This window comes from Homo sapiens, chromosome 13, assembly GCF_000001405.40.
Source record: "Homo sapiens chromosome 13, GRCh38.p14 Primary Assembly".
In the NCBI taxonomy this organism is placed as follows: domain Eukaryota; kingdom Metazoa; phylum Chordata; class Mammalia; order Primates; family Hominidae; genus Homo; species Homo sapiens.
Genome location: NC_000013.11, coordinates 37,772,085 through 37,791,514, shown reverse-complemented (window position 1 = coordinate 37,791,514; position 19,430 = coordinate 37,772,085). Strand labels below are relative to the sequence as shown.

Here is a 19,430-nt window from a genome sequence, read left to right as displayed (position 1 = left end):
ATTACCCTTTCCTGAGCACCATGTATATTTCAGTGAGCAAAACAGACAAAAAAATCTCTTGACTATTTAAATAAGAGAAAACTTTTTCGTTTATCCTTTTTTTTTTTTTTTTTTTTATTGAGACAGAGTCTTGCTGTGTTGCCCAGGCTGGAGTGTAGTGGCACGATATCGGCTCACTGCAACCTCCACCTCCCAGGTTCAAGCGATTCTCCTGCCTCAGCCTCCCAAGTAGCTGGGACTACAGGTGCATGCCACTATGCCCGGCTAATTTTTTTTCATATTTTTAGTAGAGACAGGGTTTCACTATTTTGGCCAGGCTGGTCTTGAACTCCTGACCTTGTGATCTGCCCACCTAGGCCTCCCAAAGTGCTGGGATTACAGGTGTGAGCCACCATGACAGGCCTGTTTCATCTTCATACTTTCCTTATAGTGTACTTCTATGTCTAAACATGGTCTATAAGTAAAAAACTGAGGTCATATGCACTAGACTAATGTTATTCCTTCCTGCATTTAAATAATTTTAATAAGATATAAAATTACAGCTTCTGTTTTTTCTTCCCTATTTTTAAAGCAATACCTCTTTATATTATTGCCTCCAAATTTACTGTTATGAGGTATGATGTTAACCTGATTCTTTATATATTGAACTCACCAAATATGTCACCATACAAACTCCTACTAAAGCAAAGCTAAGTTCAATAGAACTTGCAACGGTAAAGAAGAGTGTCACCTGGACTGAATTTTACCATGTCACCAAAGGGGGGAGGATAATATACCGAGTTTTCTGGCCTGTGCTCAGTTGGTTTCAGGTTGATCTTTCAAGGCGGGAAAATGATTAGGATGAGGCAATTTTTGTGACCTAATAGTTTATGATTGGTGGATTTAGCAAAAAGAGACTTCTGAAGAGAGTCCTGATAAGTAACCTTATTTAATAAGGGAGCTGCTTGCCCAGGTAGGCAAATATTATCTCAGCTAAACAGACATGCAGAAATTTATTGATGTAAATAGTGATTATTTATATGCAAATAGTGGTTATTGGTTTACAATCTTATCTTTTCTGAGCAAAACTTTTAGGGAATAAACAACTAATTAATGTTGACATAGCTATTAATAAGTTGTGTGGTTGCAGTCTCATGGGGGATGTGCTATTTTCCCTCCTCCTTTAGAATATTTTCTGTCCCTAAGGGAGTTATTCTTACATGTCCAGTGTGACACTGTGAATTCTTTCTGATGTCTTATGCATCTTTTTATAACTATTAAAGTTGTTGGTCATTACTAATAAAAATAGTCCTTATACTCTATTATTTCATTTTTACTTTCTGCAACTACTATTTTATAGATATTGGCCCTTGTGTTTCTATTCTCTATTTCTATTAACTTTTATATTTTACAAACTGAGAGAGTTTCATGACCAGTTCACTGGTTAATTCTAGTGTTGTTCTACCAGCATCTGTGATTATTCTTAATGTTTTCTTATTCCTAAGTTTTTCTCCTATCCCTTTTTATAATTTTGTAGAGATTAATATGCATGTTTTATTCTCCTGTTATCTGGTACACTAATTCTACTTCTTCTGTTATAAGATACTCAAATTGCTTTCTAAGATGTCTTAATTTTTTCCCTCTGTGTTTATATTCCCCTGTAAACATCAGCAAATTACTAAAGTCTTGTGCCATTCTGAAGATTTTAGGAAGTAAAGATGAGAAACATGTTTCTGAGCCATGAGCTAGCCATGTGTTGATTTATACATTACAGTTATATTTCCTCATACAGCTGCCAAAAGCTTAGTAGTAAAGATGTGCAGAAAAGAAAAACAGGCAAAAAAAAAAAAGAAATAAAGTATTTTGCACAGGTGATTTGATAGCTTAACAGCTATTGACTGGAATTGCTAAAACAATTTTAGGCAAGTGGTTAAGACAATTTGACCCTATTTATTTAATCTAAAATGGCAGAGTAAAACTCTAAGAGTATAATCATTAATTCCTTGATTCACCTACAAATTTTGAATGCTGATGCAGAACTGTTTACTTCACAATCTCTTATATACACACCAGTAAGAAATGTTCTAAATCTAAGAGATCCACAGGGTTTATAAAGATGCATAAAAAAGGCTACATAACTGTGCATTGAGAGGAAGAAAAGAAACATCATCAGGGGCTATGATGCTTCAGAAAGATTTTAAAACCCGGCAGGAGTTGCTAAGTGCCCAAGGGAAGGAAAAGCACTCAGACTGTAAAGAGCAGTATAAGAGGCTTAGAGTTACAGTAGCCAAGTAGTTTGGTATTTTGGGCAGTGTAAAATAAACTTGCCTGGGACAGTCTTGGAAGCCAGATCATGGAGTAATCAGTATTCCATAATAAGTTTGTGTTTTACCTGTGAATGGTTATCAGCCTTTTAGAGACTATCAGTAAGAAAGTGATTTGATGAGATTTGCGTCTTAGAAAGATTAGGTATGTGGCACTGGGGAGGATAAACAGGAAGTATGCATGACTAAAATCAGTAACATCGTTTGGAAAGATATTGCTGTAGCTCGTGTAAAAGATGATGAACATCAACATTTTAGTGAGGGAATGCTACTGAGCCGTTGAAATCTTCCCAGTAAGACATAGAAATGATTGTTAATATTATTTAACTATAGTTAATTTACATTTAAATAGGCACATGTGACTAATGGCTACCATCTTGGATAGCAGAAGTCCAGATCTTAAGGGAGATGTGTGGTCTGGCAACGTAGATTTTATAGGATATTTTAAAACATATGTATGTTTTTCAGGGAACATTTTAAACAGCAAGTGATGATAAGAATAGGGAGAGTGATAGATAAAGGAAAGAGCCACAAGCAGGACCCTGGTCATATCAATATTTCAGCTTTAGACTGAAGAAAAGGAGTCTGTGGAAACCACTGAGAGAAGGGTCATGTTGAGGTAGGAGGTGGAGCATTAGGGAAGACTGGCAGGGAGCCCAAGGCAGGACCAGTTTCATTTCAGCAGGCTTGTCACCAGAACCTACTGAAAACTCGTAAGACTTGAAAAGAGCCAAATGTATTTGGCAACTAGGAGGACATGATTAAGAAAAATAAAATTTATCCATGATGAGGATAAACACCATGTTAGAGAGAATAAATGAGTAAATGGAAGATGAGCTTAAAGTTTATAAAATACAGAAAATCTGAGCTAGGACAGAAAGAATTACCAAAGATAATTACAATTTAAAAATAACAATGAGAATTAAGTAGATTTGTGACATGAAGGGAAGAAGGTTTGCAGAAAGGCTTTAGGTATGAAAGAGAGTGAAGGTTGGTATGAAATATTAGAGAAATGGGAATGGATGAAAGCTCAGACAGCAAGATTAGTAGCTAGAATGAGGAAAGAACATCTTTTCTTTTGAAATCAGAGGGAAAGAGTAATAGATTGATGCGTATTTTCTAACTCTCAGGGTGGAGTTTCAAACTTTGACTATTACACATTATTTTCTAAAAGATATGTTTTCTCAATCCCATGAGGTAAAAATCCAGCACAATAACATTGTTTGCCCTGCCTATACCATTCCCCTCGATATGTGTGTTTTAAAAATGGGAATATACCATTGCAAAGAAGATGAGAAAATAAAATTAAAAGGAAATTAAAATGGAGATAGCGCTTAGTTTTTTATGTGGTACTTGTTCAATCTAAGGGGCTTGAATTTTGAAAATAAGTATAATCTTGATTTCCATCTTTAAAATCCTAGGATAAAATGTCAAAATATTTTAGTAAAGTAGTTTTTGTTGTTGTTGTTGAGTAATGTAATCTTATCTTCATGGTTTACAGAAATGTCCCTACAACTTCTCAAAGAAATTTAGTAGTTCATTGCACTTTGACATCATGAAAACAAGAGAAAATTCATGTTAATTTTTGACTGGACTAAGTCACAAAACAGTTCAGTCATATGCAATATTTTTTATGTAACACTTGCAGCTACTGAAACGTATGTATTGTTTCTTGCCTAAGGAAATTAGAAAAAGATCTGGAATTCAGAGTGATAGCAAAAATCAGACCATTATGCTTTTATGTGGAGTATATGTTATGTGAAAGATTATTGAGATAATATATTAGAACAATATCAAGAAAAAATTCTAATCGGATTGCGTGTGAATGCACTATTTGGGGAAAAGTTATTTCATATTAGATTCCAGACAAAGTACAAATGCAACTTACATATGTGTGATAGTATCTTAATAACAAATAGGAGTTGTTTCTTACTGTGTCATGAGATTACATCCGTAAACATGTATCTTTTCACAGTCAACTAGGGAAGAAAATAAAATGTTGTTCAGGGAAATTCATTTCCTCTTTAGTAATACATACTAAAGAATGGAGATCTCTCTATATTAAATATTCCTTTCCTTTGTGTTCCTTGGAACTCAAATTCACTGTTCTTTCCACTATATAACTAAACTTATCCTTTAGGCAATATGCCTTCAGATACATATAAATATCTAAAATTTTTGGTTGTATATCTTTATGTTGCTTAGAAAACTGTAGTTTTCATACTTAGTGACGATTTTAATTTCTCTTTGGATCAATGTCAAGTTGTAGCTCTCTCTACCTTCTTGTTTCTTTTTAATCCTCAACACATTTAGGGGAAATAATTTTTATTTTTCATAAAAAATAACATCTCAGAAGTTGAATTATTTCCCCATCACTCCTCATCTCTTCCAAATCTTCTAAATATAATTTGACCAATCAGTCATTCCACTTCTGGTGTTATACAGGAGACATTGAAATGAAAGCATTCTTAAAATTCTGCAGTCTCATGGGGGAAGAAATCATTTCCCCTCCAAAGTTTATTCTAAAAGTGGAGGACCAGGAGCAATGTTTTATTTTGACATTATAGGTCAACATATTTGCAATACTGGGTCTCCTGTTCTTTAATAGCCTTTCTATCCAGTAGCAATTCCATAGATGATAAGTGTGTCAGCTCAGAGATTTCATCAGCCTTATCAGTGCCTGCTACTTGCTATTGCATTTATGTAGCACAGTTTTAAAATGTTAAACTTTATTGTTTTTGTCCTCCAGTTAGTATCCCCGCATCTCAAGTAATCAAGGACAAGCCCATGTGCTGAAAAATTATATGATCTTCCTTACTCCCTTATGTTAAGGTTTTAGCCATCAAAGTTGTTCTCTCTCTCTCTCTTTCTTCTCTACGTGTGTGTGTGTGTGTGTGTGTGTGTGTGTGTGTGTGTGTGTGTCTTTCTCCCTGTGAGTGTTTTTAGATTCCATTGTAAATATTTAAATTTTATTTATTAAATCTATTTACATTTTAAACATATTTAAAATCTGTCTAGACTTCCTAACATAAATTCTTATATACTTATTTCAAATCCAAGAGATTGAAAGAGGTCATAAAAGTTAACAAAAGATCTTTCTCAGCACCAATGCTTTCATTCTTAACTTCTCAGCCATTCCTTGGTAAGTGTTGATTTCATCACTTTGTGGATAGAGAAATAGATTACCTAATGCAAATATCCCTTACCTCCTCCATCTCTTAATTACAGTGCTGACTAAAATATGTCTCTTTTTTTGTGTAGTGTAACTCTTTTTAAAATGAACTTCTGTGGTTTACATTTGTGGAAGTTATCTGGATTAAATGAAATAGATATTAGTAAGCTTAATTTATTTTTATCTTCCCTCTTCCTCAAAGTTCTCCAGTAGCTTCTGTTTTGTCCACTAATCCCTATTGTCACTGACGTTCTGTACTTTGACAATGAGAAATAAAATGCTGTTCTCTACCTAATTCTTTATTTGATAGTATTATTAATAAAATTAACTAAATGAAAAAATAAAATAAATTAGTTTTTTCATTCTCTATCGTGAGTCTTAACCTTGATTGAATCATAATTCACCTGCAGAACTGATGTGTGCATGCATGTGTGTAAGTGCGTGTGTATTTTCATTTTAGCCTGTATTTTGGGTGAGCTACATTCAAACACCAGTCTCAAGCTAAAAATATTATTGGTAGGAAAACTTAAATTCAACTCTAAAATAAAAATTCATGTATTTTTCCAAGAATCATGGATAAGAAAGAACTGAGATAATAAAGGGTATGCATAATGCTGAAATTGAATATAAATACCAGTCATTATTATTATGAAACTTTTGGATGTCAGTCCTGATAAAATTACACTGTGAAGGTCATGGCATTGATCCCACACACTGTTATAGACTCTGACCTGGGAATGAGAAAAAAGGTGCCAAGGAAGGGAGTGTCAACCACCTTTCCAAGGCCAACATTGAATTGGCATCACTGATGCAAAAAATGGGGGCAATCAGGATCAGATAACTACAATGACATAGATAGAATCATAATCATCTTGCTTTAACTCAAGTTTTAGTGATATTGGGGGAATATTAAATTCTCCTTGATATTCTATAATATAAATGCTATTCCTGTTATTCTAGAGTGAGTTAAAGCATCCCCACAATACTAAAGTTATAATCAGCCCTCAAGCAAGTAAGTAATTTGCACGTCTAAAATTAATACATATTGAACACTCACTTTTTGCTTAGTCTGTGAAGGTAGCTTTACAAAATACTATGTTTAATATGCCAGAGAGATACCAGTTGTGAAATAATAGTTTTTCATATTAGCTCTTAAACACCTAGATACTTTAGAAATCATGATGAATTATCTGGATGTCAAAGGGTAAAAATTAATTCCTTGATAATTAAAATAATAAATTGAGGTAATATGCAAACAATGTAAAATTTCCCAAAATAAAAATATTATTAAATATAATCATATTTGTTAATGTAATTTATGTTTAATCTATGGTTAAAACATTATACAAATCAAATTCATTTACTCATAAAATGATTAGGGTTGAAAAGATCATTTAAAAAGAATATGCATGTTTAAGTACCTAGAACACCCTATTCATTTTAATTTTGCAGAGCAAACATATCCAAATAAATATGTGAGTTCAATTTCAATAACATAGAAAAGTAAAATAGGTTAGATAATAAGTATGCAAGAGGAACTAACAGCAACAAAGAAATCATACTCAAGATGTAATACTTTTTTTCTATGAATCTCTATCACTAGGACGATACCAGATCAATATAGCTTCCAGTACCTTTGTGAATTTATTGTAAGATGAGCTTTCATTTACTTGAATTAATTTTCTCATATTCAACTATATCCTTACTTTAACTTCTAAATAAAAAAATTATAATGAATACATTCCTGCCTTGTGGTTTATTGTTATTTTTTAAAGGCAGTAGAATGAAGAAAATAACATTTTTATAATAAATTCTCTCTCCATTTAATCCTTTCCAAATCTTCTTCTGGAAATTGAATTGCTTAGACTCATCTTGATGATTAATATTCTCAGTACATGTCTTTCCCCCTCAATGAACTCACAGAGAGAAAAAAATATAATTATGTTCATTGGGCTCAGTATATTTTATTGACATTAATGTTGTTAATTTACATTAACTTTGATGTCACTACTTACTAGCATTAAGTATAGAGGGCAGGGCACAGTGGCTCATGCCTGTAATTCCGGCACTTTGGGAGGCCAAGGCAGGTGGATCTCTTGAGCCCAGGAGTTCGAGACCAGCCTGGGCAACATGGCAAAACCCTGTCTCTACCAAAAAAAACAAAACAAAACAAAACAAAACAAAAAACAAATATATGACAAATTAACAATATTTTGCAAACATAATGGTATTACATAATCTCAATAGCGTTTCCACAATTAGAAAAATTGACAATGAATTATATATTTGAATATCCTTGGTCTAGTTTTGAGATCTCAAAAATATGGCCTCTGATACTCAAAGTGATTGAAAACTATATATAATTACGATAAACTTTGTAAATAATTTCCAAAACTATAAATGCATTCTCTGATAAAATTCACTTTCAGAGTAACTTTTTAAATAGTTTACCAAATGTTAATCTCTTTTTATTTATTTTAAAAGAAAACTTTGTTTCCACATAATTGAACAACTATTTAGTATTTATATTGTTGAAGAAAAAAAAAAACCTTAACTCTTAATAGTTACTAATAATGGTATTGTTGTTATTGATATCACTGTGAGTTGGAGAAGTATGATGCTTAACAATTTTAAAAGCATATTAACACTAATCTTTGTGTTTTTTGTTTCTACTTTCAGAGACGAAGAAATAGCATGGCATGAAACATGGCTCAGTTCTATTACAAAAGAAATGTTAATGCTCCCTATAGAGACCGCATCCCTCTAAGGATAGTAAGAGCAGAATCAGAACTCTCGCCATCAGAAAAAGCCTACTTGAATGCTGTGGAAAAGGGAGATTATGCCAGTGTCAAGAAATCCCTAGAGGAAGCTGAAATTTATTTTAAAATCAATATTAATTGCATTGATCCTCTCGGAAGAACTGCTCTCCTCATTGCAATTGAAAATGAGAACTTGGAGCTCATCGAACTACTCTTAAGCTTTAATGTCTATGTTGGAGATGCTCTATTACATGCTATCAGAAAAGAAGTCGTCGGAGCTGTTGAGCTGTTATTGAACCACAAAAAACCTAGTGGAGAAAAACAGGTACCTGCAAAAATACAGTTTTTAATTTATTTTACCTGCAGAAGGTTTTTTGTTTTTTCTTTTCTTTCTTTTTTTTTTTTTAGATTTTCAAATGCCCTGAAAATTTAAGAAATATAAGCTTCAAAATCTGAACTATATTATAACAGAAAACTACTATTAGGTACACCCTTCATGTCCTATGATAGTTACGTCCACTTGCATTTCCTGCCCTGGAAAATCATAAGTAATTGTGAAAGCTAAAGCAAAATAAAGTAATTTAAGTAGACTGCTCATAAATTGGAAACATTTCTATGTAATGCTCAACATAGGTTGCTCGTAACTTTATGTGTATGTGTGGGTGTTTTTCCTCTTGCCTTTCATTTTCTTAATTCTACCTTATCAGAGGGTGAATTATTTTGTTATTTTCCTATTTAACCTGCTTGCCTGTTCTGGGCTTCTGCAGCTTACTGCAAAAGTGAGTTGCACCATCTAATTTTGATATTATCCTTTAACAAACTCTAGTAGATTCTTTTAAATTGAGACTTAAAGAAAGAAACAAAAAGGATTACTATGAGATAGCTGAACTCTGACTGTGGGCTTAACTACATCAACTTTACTGATGGTGCAAATGTAGCTATACCTTATAGGTATCAACAGAAAATAAACTAAAATGGCACACAATTATAAATACAATGTGTGTTTTTCTCTTTCTCTCTGTCTTTTTCCACTAAGGAAGTGGAGACATCATAGACAGGAATGAATAAGGAGTCTGTTTTTGTCTGTCTGGACTCTTCCCTTTGTAACTGCCTTGTGTCTGAATTATCTATTTGATCCTTTTTCCTTTCACACTGTACTCGTCACTTCCTTGCATCAAGGCTAATTGACTAACTGCAAAGACACTGCAGATTCTGCAGCGGTTCAAAAATCTGTCTTTTAAAGTAAAATCTTATAAAATGGATGTTATTTTAGCTCTAGCAAATTCTAGCCTATTTGATAATATACACATCTCGGTCTCTGCAAACGCTAGACTGTTAGGAGGTGTGACATTTTTTTTACAAGCAAGCTCTCTTTGCTTTCCTAGAGGACTTTTATCAGAATCTTTGCCATTATTAGGAAAAGAACTTTATAGCTGAGTGTCCCTGTCTGCTGGGAAAAGCCTGTGTTTTTATGGTCCCTTTTTTATGTTTCATCCCCATTCAACCCTTCCCCTTACTTGAACTAAGACTTTGATAAAACAGCACTCCACAGCAACAATACTTTTCTGCTTGTTGCTTTGCTGGCATTTTGTTGTTTCTTTCATAAACGGTTGTTTGTGGATTACTCTCATTATATTGGTAAAAGTTTACTGCTACAAAAATTTGCTTGTTTCTTGTATTCTTTCAAACGTGAACAAGCCTTGATTGGGGTAGACAACTAATAGTAATATCCAAAGACACATTTCATGTTATATACCAGTCTTTCACCACTAAGGAGATACAGAACACAGACAGGAATGAGTAAGAGTCTGTTTTTAATCTGTGTAAGTTTAGGTGCTACTACTTAAGTCTCCTTGTGGTACTGAAATTCTTTCCACAGCTGTACCTCTCAAGTATTTGCATTTTCTAATAGCAATGATATTATATTGTACACTCTCTTATTTTATGTCTATATAGGCAACCATAAGACAGATGTTTTGGCTGTGATGTAAATCATTTTAGATTGCAGCAAGACTATAGAATGAAACTGCCATGGAACATGTTTTTGATGTTTATTACTAAAGAACCTTCTTAGTTCTATTTTCTAGAGAACACTGGCCATAAATTTCAGTGTCTCTTTAGTCAATGACATTTGTACTGACCAGAATAATTTTGTGTCTGGAGAAGATGTCTGCTATTATGAGAGTGTTTGTTGGAAGATGTTCAACTTCTGAACTAAACTCTAGCCTCACAAGTAGGTCCTGGCTCCTTATAGGCATTTGATCTGGATCCTGATTATTAATAAAAGGCAGTCAAGGTTTGCCATCTGCCAGGAGTCTGAAATTTCCCAGGCCATGTGTTTCTGGAAGATTTCTCTTATATCAGTCTGCTGGCCAAGAATTCCTTTTCTATTTGTACATTCTAGAATTCCTCTTCAGTGAAGGCACCGAGAATAAACAAAAATTGTATTATTTTGTTTGAACTTTATAATTTTGAAAGAGTAATTTCAATCTCCCTCAGAATTCTTGGTATCTTGCACAATGAAAACTGAAGTTTCAGCAACATGAAACGTGCATAGCACACAAAGATGGCCTCAGTGCTTGGGCCGTATCAAATCCCATTAGAGCCTGGCTGTTTATTTGTGATTTTCTTTGGTAATTCATTTCCTAAGGAAGGTCAACATCTTTTGGAATGACAGTTTTCATAAATCACTGTGTTGTAAGTAGCAAATATGTCCTTGATAGGACTTTTTTCTCTCATAAGGTGTAATTCCTCATTCTTGTGATCATTGAAAGCCATTTGTGTTTTATTTTAATTCACCTAATTTTCATACTCATGGTATGCCCAAAGATTCTGGGACACGTCATCATTCATTTTATTGAGGTCATTGAGGCCAAATGATAAAACCTGAAAACAACAATATCCAACTGAACAAAATAAATGTAACATCCTAAAATGAGTTAAGAAAGAGGTTCTAATAAAAAGAAAAAAAATCCAAATCTGATTTTTAGAACACTTAGTAGTTTTTAAATGTGAGAAATGCATATTCAAAATATACTCTTTCAGAAATTTGTCACATATTAACTTATTTCTCTGGAAAAAGAAAGATTTCATAGTCATCCTCAGGTCATGGGAGCTGTGAGATTTCAGATGAATTTGTCTACACTTAAAGGCTTTCACAGGGGAACAATTTCCAGATGCCTGCTCTGCCAGGCCTCGTCCTGGGCCCTGAGGAGGAGACACCGTTCCTTTTCTCGAGAGTCCTAAGGTCCGATTGTGAATACAGAAAAGAAAAGTATCATGGGAATATGAATAAAGGCTGTCAGAACTGAAGAGATGAAAATGAATCCTCAGAAAATGATGAAGTTAAATCATCTGGATTTGGCAAACACAAAATGTTAGTGGGTAGAGGGCTGGAGAAGGGCTTGAAGGAAAAAGGGGAAGAATGTTGATAGGTTTATACCTTGAAAAAATTAACACCATTAACTGAGATAAAGCCTATAAGAAAAGACTTATGAGACCAAATTGGACATGCGTAGTTTTTTGATTTGTTAGTATTAATACCTAGGAGTTAGTTAGAAATGTTGGATTTAAGAATGGGGTCTGGGATTGTTATGTAGATGATAAGGAGGACATTGAAGCAAATAAAATCACCTTATCTTCCTGCAGTTCTGACATTGGTTTTCTTTTTGACCTTATACATGTTTTACAGATTTGTGATTTTTAGTATATTAAATGATTTTCTCAATGCAGCATGTAATGAAAAGATGCAGGTCTTTCCAGATAAATAGATGGGTATAGATCATTAAATATTTTCTTTCATATTTAAGGTAGTCCTTCATAAATCAGGGTATTGAATTTAGTTGGGTTTTTTTTTTTAATGAGAAGAGTAATAGCTTATTTCTTTCCCATAGGAGACAGCACAGAGAGCCTCTGATTCTCTACACTAAGCAGGAATCATTGCACTGATAGTCTCTGATGAATTTACTGAACTTGGCTTTAACCTTCTTGATACCTTATTTCTCTAGAGGGAATAACTGAGAATGACTTCTTAACCCTCATTTCAGTCCATTGATTGGTAACTTGACTTTTCATTATTTTTAGCAGAGCTTAGATGTCTTCTAAGTCCAGATTTAATTTCAGTTTCAGCTGCTTCAGTAAATGTTTATCAGAAGCAGACCTTGCTTTTCAATTTTTTTGTTAGATCAGTGGTTGTCAATCTTTAGCATCGTCACTGGAAAGGCTTGTTACAACACAGACTACTAGGACCTACCTGCAGAGGTTCTGACACAGCAGGTCTGAAGTGAGGCCTTGGGATTTGTATTTCTAGTGAGTACCCCAGGTAATGCTAATGCTGCCAGTCTAGCAACAGTGCTTTGAGAACCACTGATTCAGAGGATGTTGCAGGTTGTAGAGAACCTACAGCTGTATATTTTATGTTAGATGTCTCATACTATACTATGCTAACCTGGTTTTCAGGAAATTTTGACTCATTCCCTTAAGTACTAGCTGTTAAGTGGTATTTAATATATGAGAGTTTCCCAATTTCAGTAACATCCTTATTATGTATTCCCACTTTGGAAAAAAAGACTTTGCTATACATTATAAACAGTGAAGATTCCAGAGTGATTAGCTGAAGAAATTTTGGTTTTAAAGTTCTACTAAAAATAATGCAGGGTATTTTATAATTGGGAGGATTCTTGGAGATCAACCTAATCAATCACCTCATTTTACAAAGGAGGGACAGGAAAGGGGACTCAATTGTGCAGTGGGTTGGCCAGACTGAAAAGACCTATAAATTAATAGCTAGCAACCAACCTTGATATAGTCTGGATAATAATAAAAATTGTATGACAAAAAATAACAACAATATTAATACTAGATGATATTCACTGAGTTTGTCACCATGCCAGTAACTGTGATTAGAATTTTACTTGTTTTATCTCACTTAATCTTTATATTATCCTATGAAAGTAGGTCCTATTGCTATCTCCACTTACAAATGGGGAAATGAAAGTATTAAAAGGCTTAAGTGACGTAATAATATGTCCCAGATCACAAAGCAAGGAAATACCAGTGCTGGAACTCAAGAGTCTCTGAAGACATATGCTGGTCTGGCTTTAGCCACTGCATCGATTTGAATGGGTGTCATTTAAATCATTAATTACTTATTTGAATTCAGGATATGAATTAGACAAATTTTAAGAAGTCTCTGGATGTACACATTCAGACTGTCTCTATCATGAATATTATAATGCCATTTATAATTTTGTTGCCCAATAAATATTAATTGTGACCCCAGACACTCCTTACCATGGTGTTGCACTAAGAAATAACAAAGTCATTAGAAGCTGTGAAGTGCTGGGAAAGAGCACAGAGTGAAGTGAAGTGACAGCAATGCTGGCTTCCAGTCCAGTTCACCACTTACTAATTGGACAAGTGTCTGAATCTCTCTGAGCCTTGGTTTTTTCTTGGCTGTTAATCAGGCCTGTGGTCTGAATCTTACCTACTTCTCAAAGTCTAGTGATGTTCAAATTCTGTAAAAGTGTTTTTATAAGGTATCATGTAATAATAGTGTTGGCATTATTACTGTGTTATGCCATTATCTCTGTCTTCCTATTGACAAACAAATGTACAAATAACACAAATATGTGAAAAGATTAAGCATCAGCAATTTACCCTCTAGAGTTCAAGACCTCTTTTTTCATTTGAAAAATGCCACCATTGTTGATATGGTGTGGCTCTGTGTCCCCACCCAAATCTCATGTTGAATTTAATCCCCAATATTAGAGGTGGGAGCTGGTGAAAAGTGATTGAATCATGGGGTGATTTCTAATGGTTTAGTACCATCTCCCTAGTGCTGTCCTGTGATAGACTTCTCACAAGATCTGGTTGTTTGAAAGTGTGTAGTAGCTCCCCCTTCACTCTCTTTCTCTCTCCCGCTGCCGTGTGAAGACATGCTTGCTTCCCCTTCACTCTTCTGCCATGATTGTAAGTTTTCTGAGCCCTCCCAGCCATGCCTCCTGTATAGCCTGTGGAACTGTGAGTCAATTAAACCTCTCTTCCTTATAAATTACCCAGTCTCAGGTAGTTCTTTATATCAATGTGAGAATGGACTAATACAATTGGAAACAGAAACCCAATTCAGGGAGAGCAAAAGAAAGTATATTTCAGTTTACTTATTTTCTTTCCACCTCAGTGCATATAGGAGATTTTTTTTGACATATGTAGTTTCAGTAGATTTGTTAATACAATTGTGTCTTTAGAAACATTGCCTGTTATGTGATCAGAAAATCAAACAGTCTGAAGTAAGATATTGGTACTAGCATGTTAATGCAAATATATAACCCAAAATATACACTGCTGAATAAAAATATAGAAGATTCTTAGTCGATATGGATTCCAGTAAATATATTACTGTCTACTGGACATAGAAATATGTTCTTTAGACAAATCTAAATTTTTTGGAATGAATCCACTTACTGGCTGTTTCAAGATTCAGTTACCCTGAAAAACTTCACTTTTAACTCTTGTATTCATTGGGTTTTCCACATTGGGCTTTGGAACAAGTCTGCAATCGCATGAACTTTATATGGTAATTATTAAATGACATTGTATACCAAGACAGTCTATAAACTAACTCATAGAGCCACCCTCTAAAGAATGAAAACATTTTAACTTCTTTGTGGTTAACCCAATTGAAATTACTCCTTTCTATTTGTTTTTATTATACCCTGTTTGAGGTCAAATCCTGGATATTGACAGTAAGTGAGCCTCAAGTGAGCCTCAATATATGTGTAACCATAACTTAGGTAACATCAAAATTCAGAGAGAGAGAGAGCTAAAGAGAGCAAAAGAATAAGAGTTATAGTATAGTATTAAAGACGCTCATTTCTCCCCATAAAATACTTATCCCATATTGAGACATAGCTAGATGAGTTATCAATTATGTTTCTTTATATATCGATTTATCAATAGGAAAGTTTCTTAGACTATTTTCTTATTCTGCCGTTAAGATTAAAAAGCTGAAAAGGATCCCCAAATTTGATATTTTCAATGTAGTCAATATAAACAAATACTTTGAATGTCTAAAAATTAAATTGAATCTTATTAGTCCACAGCAGGGAGTTTAAAGGCTGTTACAGAATAGAGCATAGATTGTGTTTAGTCAGCTGGCAAATGGCAGTCATAAGAGACCTGAAAAATTCTCTCCTGAAAGAAAGAATTCTTAAAAGATGGATCATGCTGCACTATTAGTATGATAAAGTGGTTTAAGCTACTTGGCTATTCTGACTCATATATTAATACATCATTTAACCTCCTTAGTCTCATTGACATGGTTTTTGTCTTGAAGACCAGCAAATTATAGGTAAATAATCGCTTTGAAACATGTTCTGTTGCTTTTTCCTCTCAGCACAACATACTATAAAAGCAAAAATATTAGATATATTTGGAACACACAGGAGTGAAAGGCATTTACCACTCTCAAAAAAAAAATCAGATAACACAAAACAAAAAAGCCACAAGTAATAAAACAAACCTCTAAGTGTTTAGGGATTTTTATTCCACAATATGAAAATACAGGATGAGGCTCTTCTTCTCTATGTTTAGGTAGAGAAACTGAGTCATGTAGTCTCTTTAGGTTGGCAGGAGTGAGAGAGAGAGAAAATGTTTAGAGAGAGAGTTTAGAGAGAGAAATATTTAGATATTAATCTTGTCTTATAATCTCAGAAAAATTATTTAGTCCTTTGAGCCTTGACTTTATCATCATGGATGCTGGGCTAATACCTAGGTGATGGGGTGATCTGTGTAGCAAACCACCGTGACACACGTTTACCTGTGTAACAAACCTGCACATGTACCCTTTAACTTAAAAGTTGGAAATTAAAAAAAAACAAATAAATAAAATAAATAGCAAAAAAATCTAAACAAAAGAAAAAGAAGGGGATTACGGCTGCCAGTCACCAGGTTCTATGCCTAGCATTGAAAGAGCATGGTAAATAGAAAACTCTGATACCATTTGAAAGTGATTATATTCTTACCCTAAAGCACTTTATATTATTATATTTGATTAAATTAATAATGCATGTGTGCATTGAAGAGGCTAAATATTCCTCAAAGCAAATACCCTGTGAAGTTTTAGTGCTAGTATAAAGAATGAGTTTACATTAAAATAAGAAAGAGACAAATGAATCTTTCATACGTGGGTTTTGTCGAAAAGATTTTGTGGGGTCATTTTATTAGAGCCCTCTAATCCATTATTAACATGATTAAATCTAAAGTTAATAGCATTATGTTTCAGTGAGCAGTATATTAATTGAATTTCATTAACCATAATACTGAAATATTAATCATTTAGGAATAATAGTAAGTCATATAAACACTGTAATTACTTGAATACATAACATGTTAATATAATTGGGAATTATGAAAATACATATTATGATTAGAAGGCTCAGTAACTGTTTTCAACATACCCTTTCTTTCTGCCTGCTATATTCACTTATTCCCTGATTACAGGCAAAATGAGTATCATTTTGTTATCAAAACACAAGCAAACAAGGATACAGGTAATGCAGAATTTTAAATGTTCTTTTTCTCATAGAGTAGAACGACACACACTGGGAAATATCGAAAAGTAGAGGGTGAGAGGAGGGACAGGATCAGGGAAAATAACCAATAGGTACTTGGTGTAATACATGGGTAATAAAATAATCTGCACAATAAACTCCCATGACACAAGTTTACCTATGTAATTATCTCCACTTGTACCCCAGAACATAAAAGTTTAAAAAATAAATAAATAAATGTTCTTTTCAAGAATGAGTTCTTCAAGCACCTAAAAAGAGTGTTCTTATTTTCATTATCACAATTTATGTTTTATACACTCGTTTTTTAATCAATTTCTAAATATGTCAAAGTTCCAAGTCTCTATTGTTTGAGTCATTTATTAGAATCCTTTGACAATAATTTTGTACTGTAAGCTTTGAGTATGTGAGAACTGACTTACAGAATACAGCTTTCTGAAGGAATGCTAAAACCCACCCAGAAGGAGTGGGTAAGAGAAATTTATAGTTGTAAATTTGTCAACTGGATGTATAATCTCTCTTCCCTTAAAAAAGGTGATAATACGTAAGTGGAGTGGGCTTAACTTTGCCTAATACTCATCTCCTTAATTGCAACATCCCTTTTTGATTTCTGGAGTCCCTGAGGGAAATTATATACATTCATTTGACTTGGAGATATAAGTTTAATCACTAAGCAACACTAGTACCATTATATATAAATGTGAATTTTTGACACATTAATATTTGGATGAGTAAAGTAAAAATTAGAAATAATTACACATTTATTTGGACTTTATATGTTATGTATTTCCCACTCTCCAAAATATCAGAGAATTCTCAATTAGCAATATATTGAATAATTTTCTTCAAAACATAATACATAATTTCAAAAAGCAAACAGACCAAAGTGAATTGTAAATATATTTCAATATTTTACCCTAGTCACCTTAGGTCACAATAATAAAAATTGCTACCAAAAAATTCAGTATTACAATTTATCAAGCATTCTCTTAAGATCATTCTAGATTGTTATCTTATTTAAACCTCATAACAACCCTTGTGGTAAGTTCTTTCATTATTGTCATTTTAAAAAGAGAGGTGGACTTCCCCAATGCCACTATAAGTAACTAAGTACTTCAACTGCCATTTTTCTCCCTCCAGCACCATGTGGGTACTGCTAAGGAGTTGCAGAGTTCATTCTTGTTGACCCTAGTAGCAGCCTTCGAATCTTTGTTGAACACTTGTTTAAGCAGTCACTACTAAGTAACAGGGGTTCAGTAAGTGAGGAATAAATGCATGTGCATGAGTGGGGAATACAGAAAATGTTTTCTTTGACTGTTTGGTATGTATTTTCACATTTATTTGGTAGATTCCTTCCACGTATATTGAACTGTTATGGATAAAAAAATTGCGGCTCAGAGAGATTAACTTGCTCAAGTGAGATTTGAGTGTAGGTTTCTCTGTTTTCCTGGCTTTTATTCTTATTTTGCCAAATTGCCTGGATATTTTGACCCTGACATGTCTAGAAACCTAAGCTCTTTTGAACAGGTCTAGAAGTAAAACTTGGCCACCAAGCAGTATAGAGAGTTCTTTCCATGCTTTTGATGGAGCAAGTGTCCTGAAATTCCTTCAGCCAGAGGCCCCTGACTGAATCTTTGCCCCTGACTGAAGCTTGAGTGCATTAAGTTACTGATTTAACAAAACTGGTTATCTGATTTTCTCAATTCCTCTTAGATTGTTGTAGGAAGAGACTGGCAGTAATAAGGGAGACACTGCTGGCACATTGAGAAATTTCTGGGAAGGGGGAGGCGAGAACAGCACATTCACGAGAGTGTAGGAGATTTAATGTCAAGCAATGCACATTTCAATATTACCCTGTTGGGCGGCCTGATGCAGCAAGTTGACAGACTCTGGGAGGGGCCCATTTCTAAACTGAAACCTGACAGCTGAGACTCTGCAGAAATAGATCCCGCCATCCATGTTGGAGGCAGTTATTTGGCAGATAACGTGAACCCTTTTTTGATATAAATTATAAAATATGACGTGATATGATATAAATGATGAAGTTAAACGTCCCTCTTCTTTACTACCATTATAATCATATCCTATACGCCTCCTCATACTCTTAGAATATTATGTTGAAAATATGTTTTACTTTCCTCCACTTTGTGAGCTTCACAATACCAGAGGGTATGTGTATATATGCATATACATACACAAATATATTTATATATATATACACATGCAGACACACATGAATATGTATGTATCTTACTGATTTATCCATCTGCAATGACATAGACTTGATTTATAGTAAAATTGCAATTCTTCATTTCCCTCCCTCTCCTCTCTTTAACGTTTGTTCATTGGGGTAGTCCTCTTAGGCTTTGCTTGGGCATGCTTTCCCCCAACTCTTTTTGACATTTGTTTATTGGGGTGGTCCTCTTAGGCTTTGTTTGGACATATTTTCCCTCCCACTCTTAGGTAATAGATGTAGTAGCCCCAATTCAAAGTTTTATCTTTTCCTTTCCATACACTAACTGTGTGTGTGAGAGAGAAAGATTTGGGAAGTGAAGAGAATCCAGTGAGAAGTTTAGGGGAAATGAGAATCCGTCAAGCATAGAGTTTCCAATTGCTGTTGTAGCTTTCA

At 34.0% G+C, this 19,430-nt stretch overlaps 1 protein-coding gene across 9 annotated transcripts in view; it reads left to right on the top strand.

The window, feature by feature from the left end:
* TRPC4 (transient receptor potential cation channel subfamily C member 4) overlaps nucleotides 1–19,430 on the top strand; it is a 237,710-nt gene that overhangs the window by 78,258 nt on the left and 140,022 nt on the right. For all 9 annotated transcript variants that reach the window (NM_001135958.3, NM_001354806.2, NM_001372055.1 and 6 more), the window contains exon 2: nucleotides 8,155–8,559. In NM_001135958.3, the coding sequence (NP_001129430.1) occupies nucleotides 8,182–8,559 (378 nt within the window). In that variant the 5' untranslated portion in view covers nucleotides 8,155–8,181. The remainder of the gene's footprint in view (nucleotides 1–8,154; nucleotides 8,560–19,430) is intronic.